General features: G+C 42.5%; 1 protein-coding gene and 1 long non-coding RNA gene across 11 annotated transcripts in view, besides 4 other annotated features; one reads left to right on the plus strand and one right to left on the minus strand.

Moving 5' to 3' along the window:
- Positions 97 to 256: an enhancer, noted in NCBI's record as "active region_24487". NCBI's record gives its function as "activates an Ori minimal core promoter by ATAC-STARR-seq in GM12878 lymphoblastoid cells {active_cell/tissue: GM12878}" and the evidence as "EXISTENCE:reporter gene assay evidence [ECO:0000049][PMID:35858748]".
- DNAH8-DT (DNAH8 divergent transcript) lies at positions 11,005 to 12,050 on the minus strand. The gene is made up of 2 exons (NR_186581.1): positions 11,901 to 12,050; positions 11,005 to 11,133 (listed from the first exon to the last, which is right to left on the minus strand). It is a non-coding gene; the product is annotated as a DNAH8 divergent transcript (long non-coding RNA).
- Positions 12,133 to 12,182: a silencer, noted in NCBI's record as "silent region_17162". NCBI's record gives its function as "represses an Ori minimal core promoter by ATAC-STARR-seq in GM12878 lymphoblastoid cells {active_cell/tissue: GM12878}" and the evidence as "EXISTENCE:reporter gene assay evidence [ECO:0000049][PMID:35858748]".
- DNAH8 (dynein axonemal heavy chain 8) overlaps positions 12,146 to 24,837 on the plus strand; it is a 315,482-nt gene continuing 302,790 nt past the window's right edge. For all 10 annotated transcript variants that reach the window (XR_926078.3, NM_001206927.2, XM_011514319.3 and 7 more), the window contains exons 1-3: positions 12,146 to 12,250; positions 19,611 to 20,034; positions 20,172 to 20,306. Coding sequence is in view for 8 of the 10 variants with exons in the window: in NM_001206927.2 (NP_001193856.1) it covers positions 19,645 to 20,034; positions 20,172 to 20,306 (525 nt within the window). In the remaining 2 variants the exon portion in view is untranslated. The remainder of the gene's footprint in view (positions 12,251 to 19,610; positions 20,035 to 20,171; positions 20,307 to 24,837) is intronic.
- Positions 17,188 to 17,482: a silencer, noted in NCBI's record as "tiled region #13272; HepG2 Repressive non-DNase unmatched - State 13:Ctcf". NCBI's record gives its function as "represses a minimal TATA promoter and a strong SV40 promoter by Sharpr-MPRA in HepG2 cells {active_cell/tissue: HepG2}" and the evidence as "EXISTENCE:reporter gene assay evidence [ECO:0000049][PMID:27701403]".
- Positions 19,385 to 20,584: an enhancer, noted in NCBI's record as "BRD4-independent group 4 enhancer chr6:38690326-38691525 (GRCh37/hg19 assembly coordinates)". NCBI's record gives its function as "activates an origin of replication core promoter dependent on BRD2, P300/CBP, MED14 and CDK7 cofactors, and independent of BRD4, by STARR-seq in HCT116 cells {active_cell/tissue: HCT116}" and the evidence as "EXISTENCE:reporter gene assay evidence [ECO:0000049][PMID:35650434]".

The raw sequence follows: 24,837 nt of genomic DNA on the forward strand, positions 1-24,837 counted from the left end.
GGGAGACCGCTGACTTCCAGCCAATCGCTGCGCGGAGAGCAAGTTGACTCTCTGCTGATTGGGTCCCAGTGAGTCAGCGCCTCCACCCACAGGACTATGCCTCAGACTACAACTCCCAAGGAGCCTTGCGCATAAAGGAGGCAAACTCATACAAAAAAAAAAAAAAAAATGCAGGCTGGGCAGAGTGGTTTCTCTGTTACTTAATGAGCTAATTTTGTTTGTTTAACTAAAGTTTGGTAACCATTCATACCTCAGGGCTGCAATTTGGTAGAAAATTGGAATCTGATGGAAACTGAAAACTGTAAGTTGTTCTTTTAAAATTGTAAGGATTCAGAGGTTTCTCAGTTTACGCAGCGCAGAGTAATTAAAACAATTGTTGAGTCGAAAACCTATGTTCAAGTCTTGGTTCCGCTATATATTAGCGCTAGAAACTTGCAATAATTACTGACCCTCTCTGAGCTTCCTAACAGGATTTGTTGAGAATTAAATAAGTTTTCTTTTCCTTTTTCTTTTTTCTTTTCTTTCTTTCTTTCTTTTTTTTTTTTTTTTAATTTTTTTAACAGTGTCTCGCTCTGTCGCCCAGGCTGGAGTGCAGTGGTGTGCTCTCAGCTTACTGCAGTCACTGCTGCCTCGACTTCCGGGGCTCTAGCTGTCCTCTGGCCTCAGCCTCCCGATTAGCTGAGACTACAGGCTGCAAAACCAAGACCAGTTAATTTTTGTATTTTTTTGAGATGGGGGTTTCACCATGTTGCCCAGGCTGGTCTCAACTCCTGGGCTGAAGTGACCCTCCCGCCTCAGCCTCCCAAAGTGCTGGGATTACAGGTGTAGCCACTGTGCCCAGCCTAAATGAGATTTAAGTCATGGTTTGCCTACTTAGGTTCCAAATGTCCATAACTTGCAGTACTTTTTACATTAATATATATTTTGTGTTCACTGGAAGGCTTAGTCATCACTGTGTCTTCAATGATTGGCTCATAATAGTAGATGCTCATTAAATACTTCCTGTTGTTAAAAGAATAAATGGGAATGACTGGTGCTCACCTAACCAAAATGAGGTTGGGCAGGGATGTATATGGCACTAGCCACCTGGCCACCACCAAGATGTCCCCGTCTCTCATCTCAGCTTTTTTCTGCATCGCAGCTTCAGTTTGTCAGACACCAGCTCCATAAGACTAGAAATTTGGCAGCTGTTCTCTCACTAGGAGTGGGAGTAAACTCTCCCTCTGGATTTTATCCAGCCAGCCTGGATTTTATCAAATTGGAAAATCCAAGAAGGAGCTGTGATTGGCCTGGCCTAGGACCTGTGCTTACTCCTGTGATTGAAGCACTGCGATTGGCAACCTGGATTAGGACCACCTGATTGGAGTTTGGGGAGGATCTGTTAGTTCCCTAAAAGAAGAGCGATGATGTTCTTATGAGAAGGGAGGATTGCCAGGCAAACTGAACCATGGATGTCCACTGCAAAATGATAGGCAGGATAAGGATTTCAGCAGAAATGTTGTGCATACCTCATACTAACTTACTGAGGATATTTCATCAAAACACAGTCTATTAGAACTGCAGGACTTCTATATGGAACTAGACCTTAAACCTTTTAAACTCGGGAATTGGAGCAATACACAAACTCTCCATATACTGTGTGTTACCACTGAATTATTGAAAAGACCCCCAAATTGTCTTCTTTTGCATTAATTTTCTTTTTTAGATGGAGTCTTCCTCTGTCGCCCAGGCTGGAATGCAGTGGTGTGATCTTGGCTCACTGCAACCTCCACCTCCTGGGTTCAAGCGATTCTCCTGCCTGAGCCTCCCAAGTAGCTGGGATTACAGGCACCTGCCACCATGCTGGCTAATTTTTGTATTTTTAGTAGAGACACGGTTTCACCATGTTGGCCAGGCTGGTCTCAAACTCCTGACCTCAGGTGATCCGCCCACCTCGGCCTCCCAAAGTGCTGGGATTACAGGCATGAGCCACTGTTCCCAGCCCTTTTGCACTAATCTTTCTGGTGAGCTTCTCAGACTATGTGAGATATAAAGCATGTAAATGAATAGGAAGACTCAATATCATAAAATATCAATTCATTTACTAATTAATCTGTTCATGTAATGAAATTCCAATAAAAATCCCAACAGAGTCCTTTCTTTCTTTCTTTCTTTCTTTCTTTCTTTCTTTCTTTCTTTCTTTCTTTCTTTCTTTCTTCTTTCTTTATTTGTTTCTTTCTTTATTTCTTTCTTTCTTTCTTCTTTCTTTCTTTTCTTTCTTCTTTCTTTCTTTCAAGATAGGGTCTCACTCTGTTGCCCAGTGTGGAGTGCAGTGGTGCTGTCTCAGCTCACTGCAGCCTCAACCTCTCAGGCTCCAGCAATCCACCCACCCACCCACCTCAGCCTCACAAATAGCTAAGACTATAGGCATGCACCACCAAAACCAGATAATTTATTTTATTTTAGTTTTTGTAGAGACAGCATCTCACTATGTTGCCCAGGCTGGTCTTGAACTCCTGAGCTCAAGTGATCCTCGCACTTTGGCCTCCCCAAAGTGTGATTACAGGTATGAACCACTGTGCCTGGCCCAGGGGTTTTCAATTAAAATGAACAAGCAGATTCTACATTCTATTTTTAGGGCCCCAAATAGGAAAGATATACTGAATAATAATTAAGTAGGGGAACATTCTCTACCGGATAACAAGACTTTGTACAAGCTACAGTAATTAAGACAGGATGAAAAAAAAAAAAAAGACAGTATGGTAGGGAGGCTGGCATAGATCAACAAATGGAAACTGTAGTAGACCACTCTAAGATAACCCCAATGATCCCCACCTCCGGGTCTTCACAGTCTTGTCTGCTTCCCTAACCTTGAGTATGGGCTGGATTTGGTGGCTCACTTCTGATACAAAGAGCATGATAGACATGATAAAGTGTCACTTCATGTCATTTCTGAGATTAGAGAATGAAATGTTGTGATTCTTATCTTGGGAGCTCTGTCACTTTCTTTGATCTCTCACTTGGAGGGTAAGCAAGTTGTCACGTTGTGAGCAACTCTAAGGAGAGATGCATGTGGCAAGGAACCAATGTCTCTGGTCAACAGCCAGTGAAGGCCAGACACCTGCCATCAGCTACACAGTAAAATTGCAAGTGGGTCCTTTTTCAGTAGAGCTTCAAAATGACTGCTGCTTTGGCCAACCTCTTAGTCACTGTCTTGTGAGAGACCCTGATCCAGAACTACCTAGCTGGACCATTCCCAGATTCTTAAACCACAGAAACTGTGAGATAATAAATGTTTATTGTTTTCAGCTGCTAAGTTTTGGAATAAGTTGTTGTGCATTAATAGGCAACCAATATACACACATACCATGTTTGTGTCTCTGTGTGTGTGTATATATATATAAATTTGGTATGTGTTATCTTACTGCTAGTGGGGAAAAGATTATTTTTTCAATGAATGGGGTAAGGACAATTGATTATGTATGTGATAAAAAAAGATCTCTATTTCATACCATAAAGGAAAACGTAAGTCCAAGAGGATTATAGACATAAATGTGAAAAGGCAAAACTTAAAACCTTGAAGAATAAAATATTAGAAAATGCCTTTGTGAATTCATGGTAGAAATTTCTTAATGAAGGCTGGGCGCGGTGGCTCACTAGCACTTTGGAAGGCTGAGACAGGTGGATTGCCTGAGTTCAGGAGTTTGAGACCAGCCTGGGCAACACAGTGAAACCTCGTCTCTGCTAAAATTCAAAAAATTAGCCAGGCGTGGTGGCGTGTGCTTGTAGTCCCAGCTACTCGGGAGGCTGAGGCAGGAGAATTGTTTGAACCTGGGAGGCAGGGGTTGCAGTGAGCCGAGATCGTGCCACTGCACTCCAGCCTGGGTGACAGAGCAAGACTCCATCTCCAAAAAAAAAGAAAGAAAGAAAGAAAGAAGTTTCTTAATGAGATATAAAAGCACGAAGTATAAAAGAAAGCTAAAACACACCCTAAAAGGTAAAAAGTTAAACCATAGACCAGGAGAAAGTATGGGCAACACACATAGCCAACAAAGGTTCAGTATCCAGAATATGTAAAAACTGTTAGAAATCAATGAGAAAGAGACACATAACTCGATAGAAAAAAATGGCCAAAAAGAAGAATAGGCAATTTACAAAAGAGAGAATAGAAATAGCATATATTCATATGAAAAATTGCTCCAAGTCTGCCCTACGTAGTGAAACCCCACCTCTACTAAAAGTACAAAAATTAGCCAGGTGTGGTGGCACATGCCTGTAATCCCAGCTACTTAGGAGGCTAAGGTAGGAGAATCACTTGAACCTGGGAGGTGGAGGTTGCAGTGAGGTGAGATCACGTTACTTGGGCGACAGAATGAGACCCTGTCTCAAAAAAAGGAAAGAAAGGAAAGGAAGGGAGGAAAGAAAGGAAAGGAAGGGAGGAAAGAAAGGAAAGGAAGGGAGGAAAGAAAGAAAGAGGAAGGAAGGAAGGAGGGAGGGAGGGAAGGAAGGAAGGAAGAAAGAGAGAGAGAAAGAAAGAAAGGAAGAAAGAAAGAAAGAAGGAAAGAAAGAAAGAAAGAAAGAAAGAAAGAAAGAAAGAAAGAAAGAAAGAAAGAGAGAGAGTCCGGGAGTGGGGGCTCACGCCTGTAATCCCAGCAGTTTGGGAGGCTGAGGCAGGAGGATCACGAGGTCGGGAGTTTGAGACCAGCCTGACCAACATGGTGAAACCCCGTCTGTACTAAAAATACAAAAATTAACCAGGTGTGGTGGCATGTGCCTGTAATCCCAACTACTTAGGAGGCTGAGGCAGGAGAATCACTTGAACCCGGGAGGCAGAGGTTGCAGTGAGCTGAGATCACGCCACTGCACTCCAGCCTGGGTGACAGAGTGAGACTCTGTCTCAAAAAAAGTAAAAGAAAAAAAAATTGCTCCAATTTTCTGGTAAATAGGTAAATGCAATTTAATATAGAAATGAGTTTTCTTTTATGCTCTTGAGATTGACAGAAATTAAAAAATTAAAAACCTGTCAATATCAAGTGTTGGTGTGGATGTAGAACAGCTGAAATGCATAAACACTTGCTGGTGGACACACTTTGGAAAGTAATTTGGCAGTATCTAATGAAGTTGAAGAGAGTACATCCTGGGATCCACTGCTAAGTATATATCCTAGAGGGTTATTGTGTCTGCACTCCATGAGACATATATAACAGACATGGTTTGAATGGCAAAAAAAATAAAAGAAGAAAAAAGGATAAAGCCTTAATGTCCAACCGTAGGAAAATAGATAGATTGTGTTATTTTCATTGAGTGGACTACTATACATAAGTAAAAATGAATGAACCAGAGCTACTATTCCAACAGGGATAAATCTCATAATAGAAATGAAAAAAATTACAAGTTGCAGAAGAATACACATAGCACAATACCATTTTTGCAAAGCTTAAAAATATGCAGAATGACATAACGTATTGCCTAGGACTAAATACACATCTAGTAATGGTACAGGAAGTGCCTGGGAATAAACAAATTCAGGAACATGATTTCCTCTAAGGGGCAGCAGAGGAAGACATAGGGGAGGGATATACTGTGGATTTCACTGTGTTGACAATGTTTTATAACTTAAGCTGGATGTTGGGCAAATGGAGAGTTGTATTATTCTTTATGACTCTCTGTATATTTTAAATATTTCACCGCACATTTTTTTTAAAACTAAAAAGTAACAAGCACCACATAGAGAAACAAAAGGGAAGACAGTGATAGTGGGGAAGGAATAGTTTAGAAATAGTCCCTGTTTGAGAAGACACAAATTCCAAAGAGTTTAGAAGTGCTTTGTCAAACTAAAAAACAGAAAGAGGTTCTCTAAAAGAAAAAGGTATTTATTTGAACGTAGGGCATCGCAATGGGAATTTGCGTGCCATAGTAAACTATGTGCATATTCAGGGAGATAAAGGAAAACAAAAGTTTTTAAATGAAAAATGAGGAAGATTACATAATTGTTTTGAGACTATTATCCTTGACTACAATGATCAACAGTAAGGGTGATGATGTCCGTCTAAGGATGGACAGAGTTCCTGGGCGGATGTCCTTGCAGAAGTATTTCTTTGCATAAAGTTTTGATGGCCTTTGTACAAGGTTGTAGTTTCACAGAATCTTCTGTGATAGTTTTGTCGTCAGTCATACAAGCCTGAGACCCTTCTTTTCAGAGCCCTCCTCAACTCTGTGTTTCAGGATTTTTATAAAACACTTCACACTGACATGAAAACTTTCACATTCTCCTTTTTGGTAGAAGGGGTGTATTAATTTTCCCAGGGACGATGTAACACATTACCACAAACTCAGTGACTTAAAACAACAGAAACTTATTCTTTCACAATTCTGGAGGCAAGAAGTGTGAAATCAAGGTGTTAGCTGGGTCATTCCCCCTTACAGGCTCTACGGAAAATCCTTCCTTGCCTCTTCTAGCTTTTGGTGGCTCCTGGAGTTCCTTGGTTTGTGGAAATGTGTCTCTAATCTCTGCCTTCAACTTCACGTGGCCTTCCTCCCTGTCTTCATGTCTATAATCTCTCTCCACTTTCTTTGATAAGGACTCTAGTCATAGATTTAGGACCCACCCTAAATCAGGATGATTTCTGTTGGTAGAAGAGCTGAGGCAGGACTGGCTTGTCTGTCATAATATAAAAGAGTCTTGGAAGATGTCCGGGTTCGAGGCTCTAAAACCCTTCGTGGCCTTTGGGACACCAAGCTCTGTGCCAAAGGGTGGAAAGCTGCCCTGCCACACCACAAATCTAAGCCCAGGGCATAAAACCCCTTGTGGCTTGGATGGAATCTGGGGCTTAGGGCATAAAACCCCTCGTAGCCTCTGGAATGTGCACAGACTTGTTGGTTGCTCTCCCAGGCTCGTAAACATGTTCTCCATTATCTCAAGCAGCAGAGTATATTCTATATGTGTCAAAGAAAATGCTAAACCATCACAGCTATGCTTCATGCACCGCTACCTTTCTACCCCCACGTCCTCACGCCCTCACCTGTTTACCCCCATGTCCTCACGCCCTCACCTGTTTACCCCCACATCCACATGTCCTCACCACCTGCTTCTTTGTTTGATCACCAATAAATAGTGTAGGATCCCAGAGCTCAGGGCTTTTTCAGCCTCCATACCAGCATTGGCCCCCGGACCCACCTTATGCACTCTTAACTTGTCTTTTCTCATTCCTTTGTATGGGCAAAGCCCAGGACCCCGGACTGGGGAGAAATGGAGGGACAGTTTTAGGAAGTGTTTGTGTAAGCAATTTTAGAATGAAGTCAGAAGAAAAAAAAAGAACTACATATAACTTTCTAAATTGCTGTGTTGTTTTTCTAGTAGAATGCTTGCCTTTGTATAATGATGATTGCTTGATTGTTAAACAGTAATCAGGTTATTAAAGCAATAATGAAGGACTGAGCCAGTCACCATGAGGTTTGGCTGCCAGTGAGAGTTAACAGCGTTTGATGTGCTTTCCCCTGCAGAGAGCCTATAGACGGACATGCAGGATGGGAGGTGACACATCACCCATATTCCTTTCTCAGGAAGGCATAAGTATTAAGGCCCTGGGAGAGGAATGCATCCCTTATGGAGAGCCTATAAATGGATGCATGAGGGATGTCTGTTTGGAAGTGAAAGCTTCAGTGGTTGAGATAAGGGCGTAAAGCTCTTCTTCTCCCACCACTCTCCTAGGCCTGCCCAGGGGCCCCTCCCCCAGGGAGAATTGTGGTCAGACTGGTCGTCTGGTTTCATGTCCCGTTCTTACTTGCCTACTGCGCAACCATCTTAAACATAGTTTATAGTTAAAGCCTGATCCTATTAAATTGCTGATGCATGCAACTAGCAGTTGGAACTCACAGTTCCGTATATCCGTACATCTTTACTGTGGACCTCACCCTATAATCATGTGATCCTCTCACCCCATGATCAGACCACCCTCTGCTCACTGCCCTTGCTCCCCCTCCCACATGTAAACTGATAATAAATGCTGGCTATTCCAGTGCTTGGATGACATTGCAGCTCCACATTGCGGTGATCCCCCTGGACCCAGCTTTCACAAACTCATCTCTGTTTGACCCACCTGGGATAAGAAAGAGAATCCATGTTGCTGGCGGGGCTGGTTCCCACTAGACCTTTGACTCCGCTGGACTTTGTAGCCCCCACGGCCTGGTGTTGGGTCTGATCACCCCAACAATTTCACCTTGAGATTTTTTACTTCATTACATCTTCAAAGATTTTTTTTTTCCAAATAAGGTCACATTCACAGGTCATGGTAATTAGGACTTAGACATATTGCCGAGTGCGGTGGCTCATGCCTGTAATCCCAGCACTTTGGGAGGCCAAGGTCGGCAGATCACCTGAGGTCAGTAGTTCAAGACCAGCCTGACCAACATGGTGAAACCCTGTCTCTACAAAAATACAAAAATTAGCCAGGCGTGATGTTGTGCACCTGTAGTCCCAGCTACTCAGGAGGCTGAGGCAGAAGAATCACTTGAACCAGGGAAACAGAGGTTGCAGTGAGCTGAGGTGGTGCTATTGCACTCCAGCCTGAGCAACAGAGTGAGACCTCCGTCTCAAAAAAAAAAAAAAAAAGACTTGGACATATTTTGTGGGGGGTACACAATTCAACCCATTACAAGGGACGTATACATGGCTTTTCTTTTTCATTGGTAATAATTTAAGATTAGGAAATCTGAGAATATGTTTAAAATACTTTTATGATTACATTTATTTTCCTTAATGAACATCATCTTATTAGTTGTGTAAACCAAAAATAAAATTGTAACCCCCTGCACCCTGCCGCCCCAACCATCTGAATGGACCCTTCCCCTCAGCCAAGGGTATGAAAAGGGTTATTGTGTCTGCACTCCATGAGACATGTATAAGAGACATGGTTTGAATAGCAAAAAAAAAAAAAGGAAGAAAAAATTGATAAAGGCTAAATGTCCAACCATAGGAAAATAGATAGGTTGAAAACTAGTGCAGGCCATGATGGAAGGAGGGGTTGGACATGCCTCATTATACCCTCATCCCTCTTGGAATTACTGGTAAGACACTCTTTAAGTCTGATAAGAAACATTTACAATCTATTTTCTCTGAAGCCTGCTACCTGGACCCTTCAACTGCATGATAAAACCTTGATCTCCACAACCCCTTATTGTAATCCACACATTTCTTTCTATTGATAATAACTCTTTCAACCAATTGCTAATCAGAAGATTTTTAAATCTACCTGTGGCCTGGAAGGCCCACCCCCATGTATTATGTCTCCCTAAAATGTATAAAAGCAAGGTGTAACCTGGCCACCTTGGGCACATGTCATCAGAACCTCCTGAGGCTATGTCATGGGTCCATCCTTAACGTTAGCAAAATATTTGCAAAATAAACTTTCTGAATTGATTGCAACCTGTCTCAGATACTTTTGGGTTCACAGTTGCTTAGGTTCTTATTGTCAGGTTTTTCAGGTTTCTGCACTGGCAGAGATTTTTGTTTGCAAGTAGAATGGACCACACTAAACAAGATATAAATGTGCCATTACAGCCACAAACTGATAATCCTTCAAGAAAAGCTCAAAGGAATGAGCTGTGGATAGTTATTTAATATTATATATGTTTTACTTGAATAACTGGTTACTTAAATTGTTATTTGATAATATGACCATGTGGTACTTTAGGATAATTATAACATAGCAAATATTGCTAATCTGTGCACCTTAATTGCATATTCCCTACAACACCTAGACATTTCCAATTGGTTGTTTTGACATTTTTATTTCGGTCAATAGTATCATCTTCCTCTCAATTGATGAGGCTTGAAACCAAACTCGTCATAGAGTTAGACATTTTTCGAACTGGAAGGGAACTTAGAGATTATCTCAACTCCCCCATTTCTTTTTACAAATAAGGACATCCAGTAATAGAGCAGTTTCACAATCTGAGGCTTAGTCGACTAAACGGTTATTTGTTGAGTAGCACAGTAACAGGACTCAGTTTCCCTGATTACCGGTTCAGTATTTTTCTTCACTACACACACTAATACTAAACTACTACAAATAACAGCTAGCATTGATTTAGCCATTACCATGTACTACTGTGCTAAGTGTTTTTATATGTGTTCCCTCATTGTATTTTCGGGGACACTTAATACTCAGGATCGTGGGCACTTAATGTCTTATATAAGTGCTGCATGGGGTTTACCTTCTGTTAAGCCTCAAGAGAACTCTGTGGAAGGTACAGTTTTCCTGTATCTCAGGCATTCTCAGGGTTGCTATCATTTGGCAGTATTCCATGAAGCTAGTTTTCTGCCAGAGTTAATGAAACTATTGCATGGATCACGGTGCTACAAACCTAATACAGCAACACATGTCTTTAGAACCAAAGCTCTGTCCATATTTAGTATTATTTCTTAGGAATATATTTTCAAAAGAGGCATTTGTAGGTTAAGGCATATGAATGAATATATTTAAGGCTCTTTATTAAGGAATATGGTATTCTGGTTTGTTTCTTACTACATGAGAATAGAGAGACAGCATAGGGACAGGAAAAGAAGGCAAGTATAAAACCTGCCCCAGCTCCATCAGTGCCAAAAGTAAACAATGAGATTCGATGGACAAGAGGTAGAGCACTTGTCCTCAACACTACCTCAACAAATGGCAGGAGTATCATATGGGAGGCCGGTTCCCCCAACCCCAAGTCCCAATGGGCAACCCCGTGGACCCAGATGCAGGCAGTGGACTGGGAGGCAGGTAAAGAATCTAGGGCTAAGTGCTCAGTATCTTTTGTATCGAGCAGTAAACAAGCTAGTCCCTCTCCCCAGGAAGTGAGCAATTGTGCCTTTTCGTGCCGTGGTTGCTGTGGCCTGCTGAGTTGCCTAAAGATTGGTTAAGGAAGTGGCTCAGAGTTAGAGGGTAGGTAGGTCTTGCATTTCGGCACAGTCAGCAAGGATATTCAGGAACTCCCTTGCTCCCATAAGCTTATATTGTATAATCACTGAGTAATGTCTATTAATATGGATGGACCATGGTTTATTTAATTTGTGATTTTTTATATTCATTCTTGTTTTTTTTTTCAGTTGACAGACCTTTCAGTCCTCATTCCACATTGATCTGCTCTACATTCAAAGACTGACTTTCACACCTGTAAGACAAAATAGTTTATGTAAGAAGCTATATTTGCTCATTCTGCTTGCCAGCAGAATGTCAGAGAATTCTTTGGCAGCTACATTTCACAAATCCCCTAACTCAGTGACTAAGTGCAGCCCCTGGAAGAATGCCCCTGAAGATGATAACATCTCTTGCATGAATCTTTTCTTGCAAAAGTTCCAGGATCCTAACTCATGCCTCTTCCTGTACATAATAAGATAATAGCTGATAGGATTAATGATTATGCCTCTACAATCTATAACCAGATGTACCCTTGAACCCCACCCTTGATGAGATTTTGCTCTAATGTAACTGCTGAGCTCATTTGATGTAACTGCTGAGCACATCTGATGCCACTTCCCATCACATGCCACCACCTGTACCTAAGCTTTGGAGCAGTCTCACAGAAAGTCTCTGAAAGACTCTCCGGATTGCAATCCTTAGTAAGACATCTGAATAAAACTAATATTAATTATTTAAATGACTGATTTTTTTTTCTTTGGTTAACACACCCAACTAAAAACGGACCGCTCACATCATGTCAGGCAGTCACAGCAAAAGCAGAACCGTACTAGAGAGGGGAGGGGGTGGACTTGGGAGAGAAGTCAGTTTTCCCCCAGAATCTTTCTCTCTCATCAGTCACAGGTTTCTGAACACACTGACTCACCAGGAAACACTTTTTAGGTTCTCAAGGAAAACACTAAGTAACTTCAGAAACTGTAAAGGTCATAGAAAACATTATTTTATATATTTCCGTATTACCACGTATACGCGGGAATCCTCCCAAGCCCCTGGCACCGCACTCCAAATGTCCATCTCCAGGAACCCGCCCTTCAGTGCCTGGGGTCCCCTAAACAATGTTTCAGTCCTCGGGCTCGGTGGGTGCATCCTTTATTGGGGAGCGCGGGGGCTGCCCGTGCCCCTCCAGTCGCTCCCCGTAGGGAGCTGCGCACTGCGGAGCCCTCGCCCCCGAGCGAGCCTGTCTCGGACTCCCAACCGTCAGCCTCGTTCCGGGCCGCGGAGGCCGGAGCAGCTCCCCCGGGGCAGCGCAACCGCTGGGGCCGGCCTCAGTGGGCTGAGTGGTCGGGGCATCGGGGCCCAGAGAGCGGCTGGTGAGTACTTGGTCGGAGCGCGCTGTGAGCGCCCGGCCCCTGTCCGGGAGGCCCTGATGCAGCCGGGTTCCCCGCCCACTTTCCTTCTTTTTAGGGGACTGGAATCCACGCTACAGTTCAGTCCTCCACCTCTGTTAGTTGAACCCAGGGAACCCCTGCTTCAAAACCCCAGCTGAGTCACTACCCTTTGTCAGTCTCTACACTGGACATCTAAGTGACTTCACACCCACTCCCCGTTTTGAGACTAGAAAACCAAATACCGCACGTTCTCACCTATGAGTAGGAGCTAAGCTATTGCTACGCAAAGGCATCCAGAGGGGTATAGTGGACTTCGGAGACTCAGAAGGGGAAGGGTGGGAGGGGGGTGAGGGATGAAACAACTACATATCGCTTGCAATGTATGCTACCTGGATGACCCTGAAGTCTCAGACTTCACCACTATCCAATGCATCCATGTAAAAAAACCACCTGTACCCGAAAAGCTATTAAAATAAATAAATAAATAAATAAATATATATATATATATATATATATATATATATATATTTTTTTTTTTTTTTTGAGACGGAGTCTCACTCTGCCGCCCAGGCTGGAGTGCAGTGGTGCGATCTCGGCTCACTGCAATTTCTGCCTCCCTGGTTCAAGCCATTCTCCTGCCTCAGCCTCCCGAGTAGCTGGGGCTACAGGCACCCGCCATCACGCCCGGCTAATTTTTTTTGGTATTTTCAGTGGAGACGGGGTTTCACAGTGTTAGCCAAGATGGTCTCGATCTCCTGACCTTGTGATCCGCCCACCTCGGCCTCCCAAAGTGCTGGGATTACAGGCATGAGCCACCACGCCCGGCCATATACCTATATATTTTTAAAAATTCAAAAATAAAACAAAAAAAATGCCTCTCCCTCCGGCTTATTTCCCGTTCCTCTACCCTTCTCATTCCCCTCTAGCCCAAAAGTCTCATCACTGAATTTACCACTTTTCCCAAGATAGTTGTGCCTCTTTTTGCTTCTCTGCTTTTGTACGCCACTGTTCCCACCTTCTGCCTATAATGTTTCTCTCTCCCATCCTCTCCTGACAACTCTTCTTTAGACCCGACTCGGGTGGTACCTTCTCCGTCAAGTTTTCTTTCTTTCTTTTTTTGTTTTTCAGAAGTTTTGCTGCCTGCTAAGCTCTCTTAGCCCTTCGTTAATTCACCTGTCATTGACATTGACCATCTTGTGTTGTATTCAATAGTCTGTCACACCAATTTGATTGTGCATTTTGCTTTGGAGAAGTCCTTAGTCTTTTATGTAGCCACAGTGGCCAGACATGCAGAAGACGTTCAATATTGCTGAATGAACTAATGCATTTGGGATAGGGTTACAGAAATGGGTGCAAGAGAAAAGGGTGTGGTTGAATTGGCTGTACCCAGCACACAGGTATGCAACTTGCTCACTTACTGTAGTATTCCTAGGAGGGGAGGAGTTCAACACCTGGAAATGCTCCTGAAAATAACCAGGATGCATTTCTTGTTGACTTTGCAGAAGTTCACTGAATCCTTAAAATTTAACTTAAGAAGGGATGGTGGGAATTGAAAATGATTGCATCCAGCCTGGGCAGCATAGTGAGATCCCATCTCTACAGAAAAACCAAAACCCAAACCAAAAAAGAACAGCCAAGTGTGATTGTGTACGCCTTTAGTCCTAGCTACTTGGGAGGCTGAGGTAGGAGGATCGCTTGAGCCCAGGAGGTGAGGACTGCAATGAGCTGTGCTCACATGACTGTACTCCAGCCTGCACAACAGAGCAAGTTGTCTGTGAAGGAGAGAAGGACCCAGAGAAAGTGAACAAGTGTTGATGCCACATTCACTCTGTGTGCTTTGCATCAGCAGAATGTGAATGCTTGGGGGTAGATTCGTAGGGAATTTCAGGTCTTATTTATTTATTTTTTAAGATAGGTTCTCACTCTGTCACCCAGACTGGAGTGCAGTGGCGCCATCTTGGCTCACTGCAGCCTTGACCTCCTGGGCTCAAGCTATCTTCCCTCCTCAGCCCTCGAAGTAGCTGGGACTACAGGTGCACGCCACCACGCCCGGCTAATTTTTTGCATTTGTTGTCAAGACTGGGTTTCTCCATGTTGCCCAGGCTAGTCTCAAACTCCTGAGCTTGAGCTCAGGAGTTTGTATGTTACAGTATATGATATGCACAGATGTAATACAACTAAAATGTACACATGATTTTTTTTTTTTTTTTAGAAAAGAACCATACAGAAAGTTAGGAAATTGGAAAGTAAAAATTCTTCTTCTACTTCCCTTCTTCAATTTCTTTCACTCAGAGTGATTCTTATTAATAATTTATTGTGTATTCTCCCTAGAAAGCTTATAATGTACTTTATCAAATCTAAACTATTACTGATTACAATTTTTTTGCAATTCTGTACATGCAAATTAGGTATTTTATGTAACTGCATAAAGAAAAAAATGCTGAGAAACAAAAAAATGCTGCATATTAAACCTTCTTAAAGTATGCATCTTAGAATTGATGAAATACCGTATATACACATATACACACTTTAAAAATTTTATGCGAGTGGTGTTATTATGCAATGTGTCTTGCTTTTTATGTAACGATGTGTCTTGGAGAGTTTTACATATCTGCATATATAGCTCTACCTCATTCTTTGTATCGCTAATGATGCATTAAAATTTTATTGAACAAGGGTAGTACAGAACAATTAGTGGGCCCTTCATTAAGGGACATCTTGGTTGTTTCCAAGGTGTGGGTATGTGTCTGTGTGTTTTCTTGCTTGTTTTTGCTATTACAAACATGTTGTAGTGAACCACCAACCTTGTGTGTATGTGTGTCTGTATATATATTGTATATCTATCTATATATAGTTGGTAAGATTTTTTCATTTTTGCTACAGTTTTTAGGAATTCCTCTATATAAAGTAGTTGCATACATCTTCTAACCTAAAATTAAATAATTGCATCACTCTTATAAGTTGATAAGTTGATCTTTTAGTATTTAGAGTTTGTTACCTGCCAAGCAATATTTGACACTCAAAAACCATGTAGAAAATGCATCTCAAATTACAGTATTTCATTAGAGGGAAAGTTATATGATTTCCTTAAGGAAAATCTCTCCAAAATGGCAGTGGTCATGTATTTATATATTTATTTTGGGAATCTTAGCTATATGATCTATTTTAACAAAATTTAAACTATAACAAATTATTTATAATTTATTTTTTTCTGAGTCACAATAGGGATTAATCCCTGATTATCAATTTTCAGTGTTCACAGACACTTGTATTCGCAGAAACAGAGTCTGTATGTCAGTGTTCACAGTCACAAAAGTCTGCTTGTATAAAAACCACATTTATTATTTATCTTAACAGATTCTGAATCCTTGCTGTTTGTGGTCTTTTGGAAGAATGAATATGATATGATGTCGTTCTAAACTTTTTTTCCCAACCAAATTTTCCCTGCTTTGACCTGTTCATAGCTTTTTATAGTTTACCTCTTTACTTCTCTGTTTAAATTTCTTCCCTCTGCTTCTTGTTGACTCCTACTTATCCTTTAAGGCCAACTAATGTTCAAATCCTCCATGAAATCCTCTTTGTCTATTTTGTCCACGTTTCTCTCTTCCTTCTTTAAATTCCTTTTTCAGCAGAACATCACAATTTAACATTCTTGATTGATTCATATAGGTTACTTTATCTCCTAAATGAGACTGAATTCTTCAGGAATTCTTGTCTGGGCTGGATTTCAGGCAAGACATCTAGGGGGTGCTACATTAGCTGTGGTTGCTGAGCACTTGTGGCTTGAAGTAGTCTTTTTTTCTGACTTTTATTTTGGATTCAGAGGATACATGTGAAGATTTCTTACAAAGGTTTATTGCATGATGCTGAGGTTTGGAGTATGATTAAACCTGTCACCCAGATAGTGAGCATAGTACCCAATAGGTAGTTTTCCAACCCTAACCCCCATCCTTCCCTTCCCCTTCTTGTACCCCCAGTGTCTCTTGTTTCCATCTTTATGTCCATGTATCCCCAGTGTTTAGTCCCTACTTATAAGTGTGAACATGAGGTATTTGGTTTTCTGTTTCTGTGTTAGTTCACTTAGGATAATGGCCTCTAGCTGCATACATGTTGCTTCAGAGGACATGTGTTTTTTTTATGGCTGCATAGTATTCCATGGTATATATTTCTTCATCCAATCCACTGTGAAGTTGTATTCTTAAGACAAGAGGCAGGGCTTCTCCAGAGACCTGGAGGGGGTGTAGCTAATGCAGCTGATCATTACAGCTCATTCCCTCTAGCATCAGAGGAATGCCTGGGCTGCTGTTTCACAGATAGACGCCTATTCTGCCCAGCATTAGAGTTGCCACCAAAGATTTTTACTGCGAATGGGCTAACCATTAAGCTGCAGCCCTAAAACCCTACCAAGCTCAAAAATGCACCCTGACATTGTGTTTCAAAATGGTGGCACAGAAGCAAGCTGGCTGTTTCTTCTCCCTTACCACCAGAAAATGGAAACAAATACACAATGTTAAGATTATCACCAACAATATCCCAAAACTCAGATATAAGGATGAGATCATTTCCAGTACCACAGAGAAGTGAAAAAACCTCTAAGCAGATGGTAAGAGAATTGGACTTTCATAGCATGACACTCCTTACCTCAGTCTGCCTGGCACCAGGCAAATGGAAAATTTCTCCCAGTCTTACGGTTTCTCTAATGGGAAAAGTGAGATTGAAGTGGACAACCAACTTTCCTACCATCCTGGGTTTCATGGCAGGAGACCTGTTCTTGCCTCAAACCACAGGAAGTATCAGCAGTGCTAAAGGGAGAAATATCCCTGAGGACAGCCAGAGATGAAGGAGGGAGATAGGACTACCATCCCCATTCCTGGAAACTCTGCTCTGTAACTTGGCCAAAGAAGACACCAAATCAGAGTTGCTGTTTGGCAGTACCATGCTGTGGGAAGCTCATCCCACAGTTCCCTTAAGCATGAACCCCTAGCCAGCATTCCCACACTGCTGGGATAATCCTTTTAGGACTTCCCCCATTTTGGATGGGCAGCAATCTGATTGTTTACTAGAACCGAGGCAAACCCAGGCTTAAGCCGACATCTAGTGCTGGAAATGAGTCAGTGACCTAGTGAAAAACAAAAGAAAATCTACAGGTAAATTGTAAAGACTCTCTAAGCAGACATATCCAATAAAAACCAAAACCAGCCAGACAGAGAAGACTGGAGTAAATAATTAATCCTTCAACACAAAGACATACACATACATTCACAGGAAAAAATAGCAAACAGAGGATCATGACCTCTTCAAAAGGACAAAGCAAGAAACCAGTGACTAACCCTAATAAGAAGGCAATATGTGAACCCTCTCACCAAGAATTCAAAATAGCACTGAGGAAGCTCAGTGATCTCCAAGATAACACACAAAAAAAATTCAGAAATTTATCAGAGAAGGTTAACAAAGAGATTGAGATTAAAAAACCCAGAAATTTTGGAATTAAGAAAGAGATTTGCTGAGCTAAAAAACTTATTAGAGGTTCTCAACAGCAGATCAAGCAAAGAAAGAATCACTGAACTCAGACAGGTTGTTTGAAAATGTGCAGAGGAGACAAAAGGAAAAAGAATGAAGATGAACAAACTTATAGAAAATTACCTCAAACGACCAGATTTAAGAATTATTGAGTTTGTGACCAGTCTGAGCAACAGAGTGAAACCCTGTCTCTAAAAATAAAAAATAAAAAAATTAGGCATGTATCGTGGTGCATTCCTGTTGTCCCAGCAACTCAGAAGGCTGAGGTGGGAAGATCACTTGAGCCCAGGAGCTTGAGTACTGGTACTGTTTGGCAGTACCATGAGACCAGTCTCAGCAACATAATGAGACCTTGTCTCTATGAAAAATAAAAATAATAAACAAACAAACAAACAAATAAATAAATTAGCCAGGCTGGTGGCATGCACCTGTAGTCTTAGCTACTTGGGAGGCTGAGGTGGGAGGGTCACAAGCCTGGGAGGTCAAAGCTGCAGTGAGCTATGATCACGCCACTGCACCCTAGCCCAGGTGGCAGCGTGAGGCCCTGTCACAAAAGAGAAAGAGAGAGAGAGAGAGGAGAGAGAAAGAGAGAAGGGGGTGGGGAGAGGGAAGGCTAAAAAAACCCTGCTGATAATTTGGGAACAATGGTTCATGTTGACACATTCTAGGGGACAGTGGGTGGGTAAACTGGTTAACTAGCAGCTAAAAGATAGGTCAGTTTGTCCTTGAGTAGGCCAACTAAGTGTATCAAACAAACAATTATAGCTGTTTATGAGTTCTCTGGAAAACTTGGAGAGAGCAGTTGTGGGGCATAGGTGACAGGCTGGCTCTGTGTAGTATCTACTGTTGACCCATCATAAGAAGCTCCATCTTGCTTAGGCCAGGTCTGCATCTGTGTCCTCAGAATTTCTCACTAGAAACCTCTTTTTCTGTCTTCTTACGTGTTTGGGAATGTATCCTTTTGTTCTCCAAGTATTTACTATTATTCTGGTTTCTGGATTTTAACCACATCCTGAAAACATATTTATTTGGTTGGAGGCATCATTATTGTCCTACAATATGGTTTTTGTCTGTAACTGACATCTCCTTTTCCACTGGCGTCCCCTAATTTCCATGGTTATGTGCTCATAACTTCTACACTTCTTCATTATTAGAGCTTTTCTGTTTAGGCAGGCTAGATTTATGCTCTCTATAGTACCATTGCCTCAATAAATAGTCACAATCACTTTTCAGTGTGAACTTTCTGTTTGGACTTGGGGTTATTTATTTTGGCTGCTAAGAGGATGTTTTATGCTTTTATGGTAGATGAGATGGCAGACAGTAGAATGTCTGATTAATGAACTGTATTGCATTACATAGTTCCTTGAAGCAAGGAACCTTTAGAGTTCACGAAGTTCTTTGCTTGGTCTCTTGCACAGTGAGTACCTCGGCAGTGATCTACAGTCTGTCCTCTAATTCAGTGGCTCTCATCTTTTTTTTTTAGCCCTAAGGCACCTCCTCAGGTGCCCTCCAATGAATTGCTGGGGTTACTATGGCAGGGATGGGATGTGTGTGGAGGGACAGTCCCCTAGAGCCATAACATAATCAGGAGGAGCACTTAAAGTCTGAAAAAGCTCCCAGGTGGGTGGGGGTGTGTGTGTGTGTGTGTGTGCTGTCCTCACTAAAAATATCACCTCTCCAGCCCCATAAACTAAGCTTCCTTAGATAATATGGCAAGGGAGAACTTAATGATTTTGCTACTTGTCTAGCTAAAAGGGGAGTAATAAAAACGTACAACACTCAATTTACTGTAGTTTTAAACGAACCTATGTTATAATTCTAGGTTTCGAAGTATAAAGCATTCCGCACGACGGGGGATGGAGAAGGATGCTGAAGATGGCGCCCCTTCTGAGGGAGCAGAGGCTCCTCCCTCTACGGAAGAGGCTGCCCCTCCCCGTTCAGAAGAGGAAGAGGCCCCGCGCCCTCCGACAGTGGAGGCCCCGGCAGAAGATGGTTTCTCTCCTTCCGCAGAAGATGCTGTTTCTTCTGTGGTGGATTATCGGGATCTCATTCCTTCTGAAGAAGGGATAGTTCTTCCAGATGATCATGAAGCGGATCTGAATAGAGTTCGACAGAGGCTTGCACCGCGACCGGTTCAGTCAGTGATTTCGGAAGTGCTGTCCTTGCCGTCTTCCCGGAGGTCCTCCAGATACCGCCGGAGTATGAGTGGCCTTCCCAATCTACAGGAAACATTAAAAGAGAGACAGGTTTGCTTCTAATACGATTTTTCATGTGTGCCACTTTTCCTTATCAAATACGAAATACTTTTACTTTACAAAGTATGAAACAGTTTGATATTTTTTCTTCAGAATTGCAATTTTTGAACTTGGTTTTCATTCCTTAGGCAAGATTTAGAGAGGCAAGGGAAAGCCGAAGACTGAAAATTGACCCTTCATACAAATATATATTTGAAATTCTAGCAGAAAATCTTGGCCTGGACATAGTAACTGTTGAAGAATTAATTTTGGATTGCCCATCTGTAAGTTTAAGTCTTATCATTATATTTTAATTGCCCTTTGAGTAAGTGATTAACTTAAGAAAATAGAGTTGTCATAAACAGCAACAACAACAACAAAAATCATTCAGAAAGACAAAGTTGGGGCAGGGCACAGTGGCTCATGCCTGTAATCCCAGCACTTTGGGAGGCTGAGGTTTGGGGATTGCTTGAGGCCAGGAGTTTGAGACTAGCTTGGGCAACATAGCAAAACTCCTGTCTCTGCAAAAAATACAAAAATTAGCTGGGCATGGTGGTCCGTACCTGTGGTCCCAGCTACTCAGGAGGCTGAGGTGGGAGGATCTCTTGAGCCTGGGAGGTGGAGGATGCAGTGAGTACTCCAGCCTGGCTGACAGAGTGAGATGCTGTCTAAAAAACAAAAAAGAAAGAAAAAAGAAAAAGACAAAAGTTGGAATTTTACTGACTAGAGGAGAAGGTTTAGTTTATATAATTATAGCCAGTTGAATGGTATTTCTTTTTAAATTTAATTAATTAATTAATTAATTAATTAATTAATTTTTTGAGACAGAGTCTTGCTCTGTCACCAGGCTGGAGTGGAGTGGCACCATCTCGGCTCACTAACCTTGCCTTCCGGATTCTCCTGCCTCAGGCTCCCGAGTAGCTGGGATTTCAGGCACGCACCACCACGCCCAGCTAAATTTTTTTTTGTATTTTTAGTAGAGATGGGGTTTCACCATGTTGGCCAGGATGGTCTTGATCTCTTGACCTCGTGATCTGCCCACCTTGGCCTCCCAAAGTGCTGGGATTACAGGCGTGAGCCACCGCACCTGGCCCAGTTGAATGGTATTTCTAATCAGGTTTACTGTTGTGGAGGAAGAAGAGAAAAGTTAGCAACTAGAATTTTGGCTAAACTTCTAATTCAGAATGATGTCAGAAGTTAGAGGCATAGTTGAGTGGTGACGGTAGGTAATATTTTACAAGTACAGGTTATATGAACTACATATGCAAATCACTTGTAGAGAAAAGCTGCATAAATAAGTCAGGAAACAGTGACTATTGTATGAGTATACGGTAGTAGAAATAGTGATGTGATTGCAGGTCAGGTTACTATATGTCTCAGTGTGCCAGGGACAGTTCTGGATTATACCTATTTTCCTGGCATGATTAACAGTACCTCCTGACACTACTAACAGTTTTGGATGATAAATTGATGCGGTCACCCTAATTATAGTAATGTATGATACACTTGTGTCATAGCTTCCCTCGCGATAGCTCTGGTTCTAAGATAATTTTCAATAAAACTACCACTAGGTTCTTGGGCTTTTTCTGAACCCTAGGAGTGGACTGGGCTGGTATGCCAGAAAGACCAGTGAGCAGGTGCAGACTGCTGGTGAGCTGATTGTCTCACTGAATGCACTGGTGAGAGAGTTGGGGTGAGGTGGGGTTGTGGTGAGGTTGTCACCATGGGGGCCATATCCCCTGCTTTTATAGGGGTCATCAAACATGGGCAAAACTCTTTAGCTTGCTCTAGGAGCCAGGGTTCTATGGAACCGTGCCTAAAAGAGCTACTCCCGGCCGGGCGCAGTAGCTCACACCTGTAATCCAAGCACTTTGGGAAGCTGAGGCGGGCAGATCGCCTGAGATCAGAAGTTCAAGACCAGCCTAACCAAAATGGTGAAACCCTGTCTCTACTAAAAATACAAAAATTAGCTGGGTGTGGTGGCATGTGCCTGTAGTCCCAGCTACTCAGGAGGCTAAGGCAGGAGGATCGCTTGAACCTGGGAGGCAGAGGTTGCAGTGAGCCGAGACTGTACCACTGCACTCCATCCTGGGCGATAGAGTGAGACTCCAACTCATATAATAATAATAATAATAATAATAATAATAATAAAGAGCTACTCCCTTGCTTGATACAGTGCATTGCTAAATTCTGCAAAATTGTCTGCGCTTCATGTCGTCCAGTATCCTTATAAGAATGTGGTCCTGGCAGTTCTCTGACAGTATGAATGGGATTGCTCATTTTCTTGGTCCTGTTGTGTAGCTGTAACAGTGAGATGGGGATGTGATTGATGCAAAGACTTCAATAGCTCTAAGCTATTATAATGACAAAGTATAGAGAATGCATGGAGATGTGTACGTAAAACAAGAGGTGTCACAGCAAGCAACCGGAAGTAGGTTGTGGTTTCCCAGGTCACCAAAGTTCCCCGCTGGAATTTACTGCTGTGGTCAAGGCTGGCTTCATGGATATATTGGCTGTGTAGTTACAGAGGCCCCTGTGCTTAGAATGTCACTATGCTTGGTTTGATGATCTTTTGTCACCATTTTGAAGTTCTTGATAATTTTTTGGTAAATGTCTCCCATTTTCATTTTGCACTATGTTCATCAAATTCTGTAGCTGGTCCTGACTGTGGACAATGCCAACCAAATAGTAAGAGGATTTTCTTTGCCATTCACAAGTTGGGTTTGTTTGTTTAATGGTTTCCTTTCCCCAGTGACTATTCTAGTTTCTGTGGTGACTTTGGCTACATGTCTTTCTAGCCTCTCTAAGCAATTGGTGCAAAACAACCTTATACACATCCCTGAGATGGTGACAATGAGAGGAAGGGAAGGCCAATTTCTAAAAAGTCATTTCTTAGTAGGCCCAGGCTTTAGGCCTGTCCCGAGGATCAGTCCTGCATTTGGCTAGGGAGGAAGCCAGATGAGTGATCAATTTTGTTTCACCTGAAAATTGCTGGGCCACAGATTTGGATAACACCACAACTGGAATCCCTAGACCTTCTGCAAAGAGTATAGGCATAGGCATTGCGGCCTGATCACTGCCTTCATGAAAGGGTAACTGCTAGAACTAAGATGTGGGGGGGAGATGGGCATCTGCAGAACTGGTAGTCCAACTTTAAGTATTTGCCATCTGTATTTCTGGGTTGGTATTCTCTGTTTGGAGGAATTCTTACTGGCTAGCATGCTAGTCAGGAAGTAGAAGTGCTATGTGCCTACAAACCCTTCTATTTGCTATTCCTGGGGTATGTCTCAGACTTTGGGTCCATGTGGTTAGATTCTACCTTTAAGGCCATTATGGTCCAGGACTGACACTGCTTAGGCTGCAAGGAATGGGAAATGTAGGCATTAAGGAAGAATCAAGCTGCAAAAGGTATTTCCTTAAGAGTTGCTTGTGAGTGAGCAAAGCCATGGTGGAGGGAAAATCGTGTACCCAGTAGGGAAACCAGTGTCAAAACCTGAAAGATTAGAATGTTTATTTGGTTGAGGGGAAAAGGCAAGGATATATGATAGGTTGGATCAAGGTTGGTGACCAGGTGAGTAAAGAGATGGAACAAGGAACAAGGGGTGGCATGATTTGGTGTGGTGCGGTTTAGGAAATTGGGGGTATATGGAAAAGTATTCTTTAGTTTTTTTTTTTTTTTTTTTTTTTTGAGACAGAGTCTTCCTCTGTTACCCAGCCTGGAGTGCAGTGGCACGATCTCAGCTCACTGTAATCTCCACCTCCCAGGCTCAAGCGATTCTCCTGCTTCAGCCTCCTGAGCTGCTGGGACTACGGGTGCGTGCCACCACACCCGGCTAATTTTTGTATTTTTAGTAGAGACGGGGTTTCACCATCTTGGCCAGGCTGGTCTCGAACTCCTGACCTCAAGTGATCCACCAGCCTTGACCTCCCAAAGGGCTGGGATTACAGGTGTGGGCCACCGTGCTGGGCCTGGAAAAGTATTCTTTTAATGTGAAGCCTGGCATGCAATCCAGGATGAAAGCAGCTCAGTAAAGGCACCACAAAAAAGTGGACAACAGAGGGTATGATGGTTACTTTGTTTGCCTCTGGATCCATTCTCCCTTTGTCTCTGCCCTGCTCTGTGGCATAGAAAGCTGAACTCTATGGAATCTATCACCTGGGCTCCCTTGTTCTCTGGTTTACACTTGGTTCAGCCACTGGGAGGCACAGCAGGAAATGGGAGGGCAGAAGGGGAGAGAAGCTCCCCACTTGGCCCTGTTCCTGACTGTGGTTCTCTGCTCCCATAGTTATAGCTCCCTGAGCAGCCTGCATCTCCAGTTCTCAACCTGGCCCTAGTCATTCTATTTCCTCTAGCTCTCAACTCTTCAGTCCTTGGGGGATCACGGTTCTCCGTTGTTGCTAGTCCCATTGTTGCTGCTAGTGCTGCAGCTTCTCTTAATCCTCCTCTGGCCTCTAGAAATAGTCTTTTATTGTATAAATAAAATAGCCTTTTTATTTATAAAGTTTTTTCAAACACCCCTTTGGGTGTGACTCCTTTTCTTGCTAGGACCTTGACCAATGCAGATGTTTCTGCAACATTGGCACTTTTACCCCTTCCCACTTTCCTGCCCCCTTCATTCAGCACTGCTCAAGATAGTCTCTTTTCTGGCTTACTGGCAATGTTTTCCAGTGACTGGGTGGCAGGGTTGTGGTACATGGAAGGAGCACAAATTTGGACACCCAAAGCTGAGGTCCAATCCCAGGTTCTGTGCTGTGCGTGTGTGTTTTGGGTCCTTAAGTTAATTTTTTTTTCTTTTGAGACAGACTGTCGCTCTG

This window comes from Homo sapiens, chromosome 6 (assembly GCF_000001405.40).
Source record: "Homo sapiens chromosome 6, GRCh38.p14 Primary Assembly".
In the NCBI taxonomy this organism is placed as follows: Eukaryota; Metazoa; Chordata; class Mammalia; order Primates; family Hominidae; genus Homo; species Homo sapiens.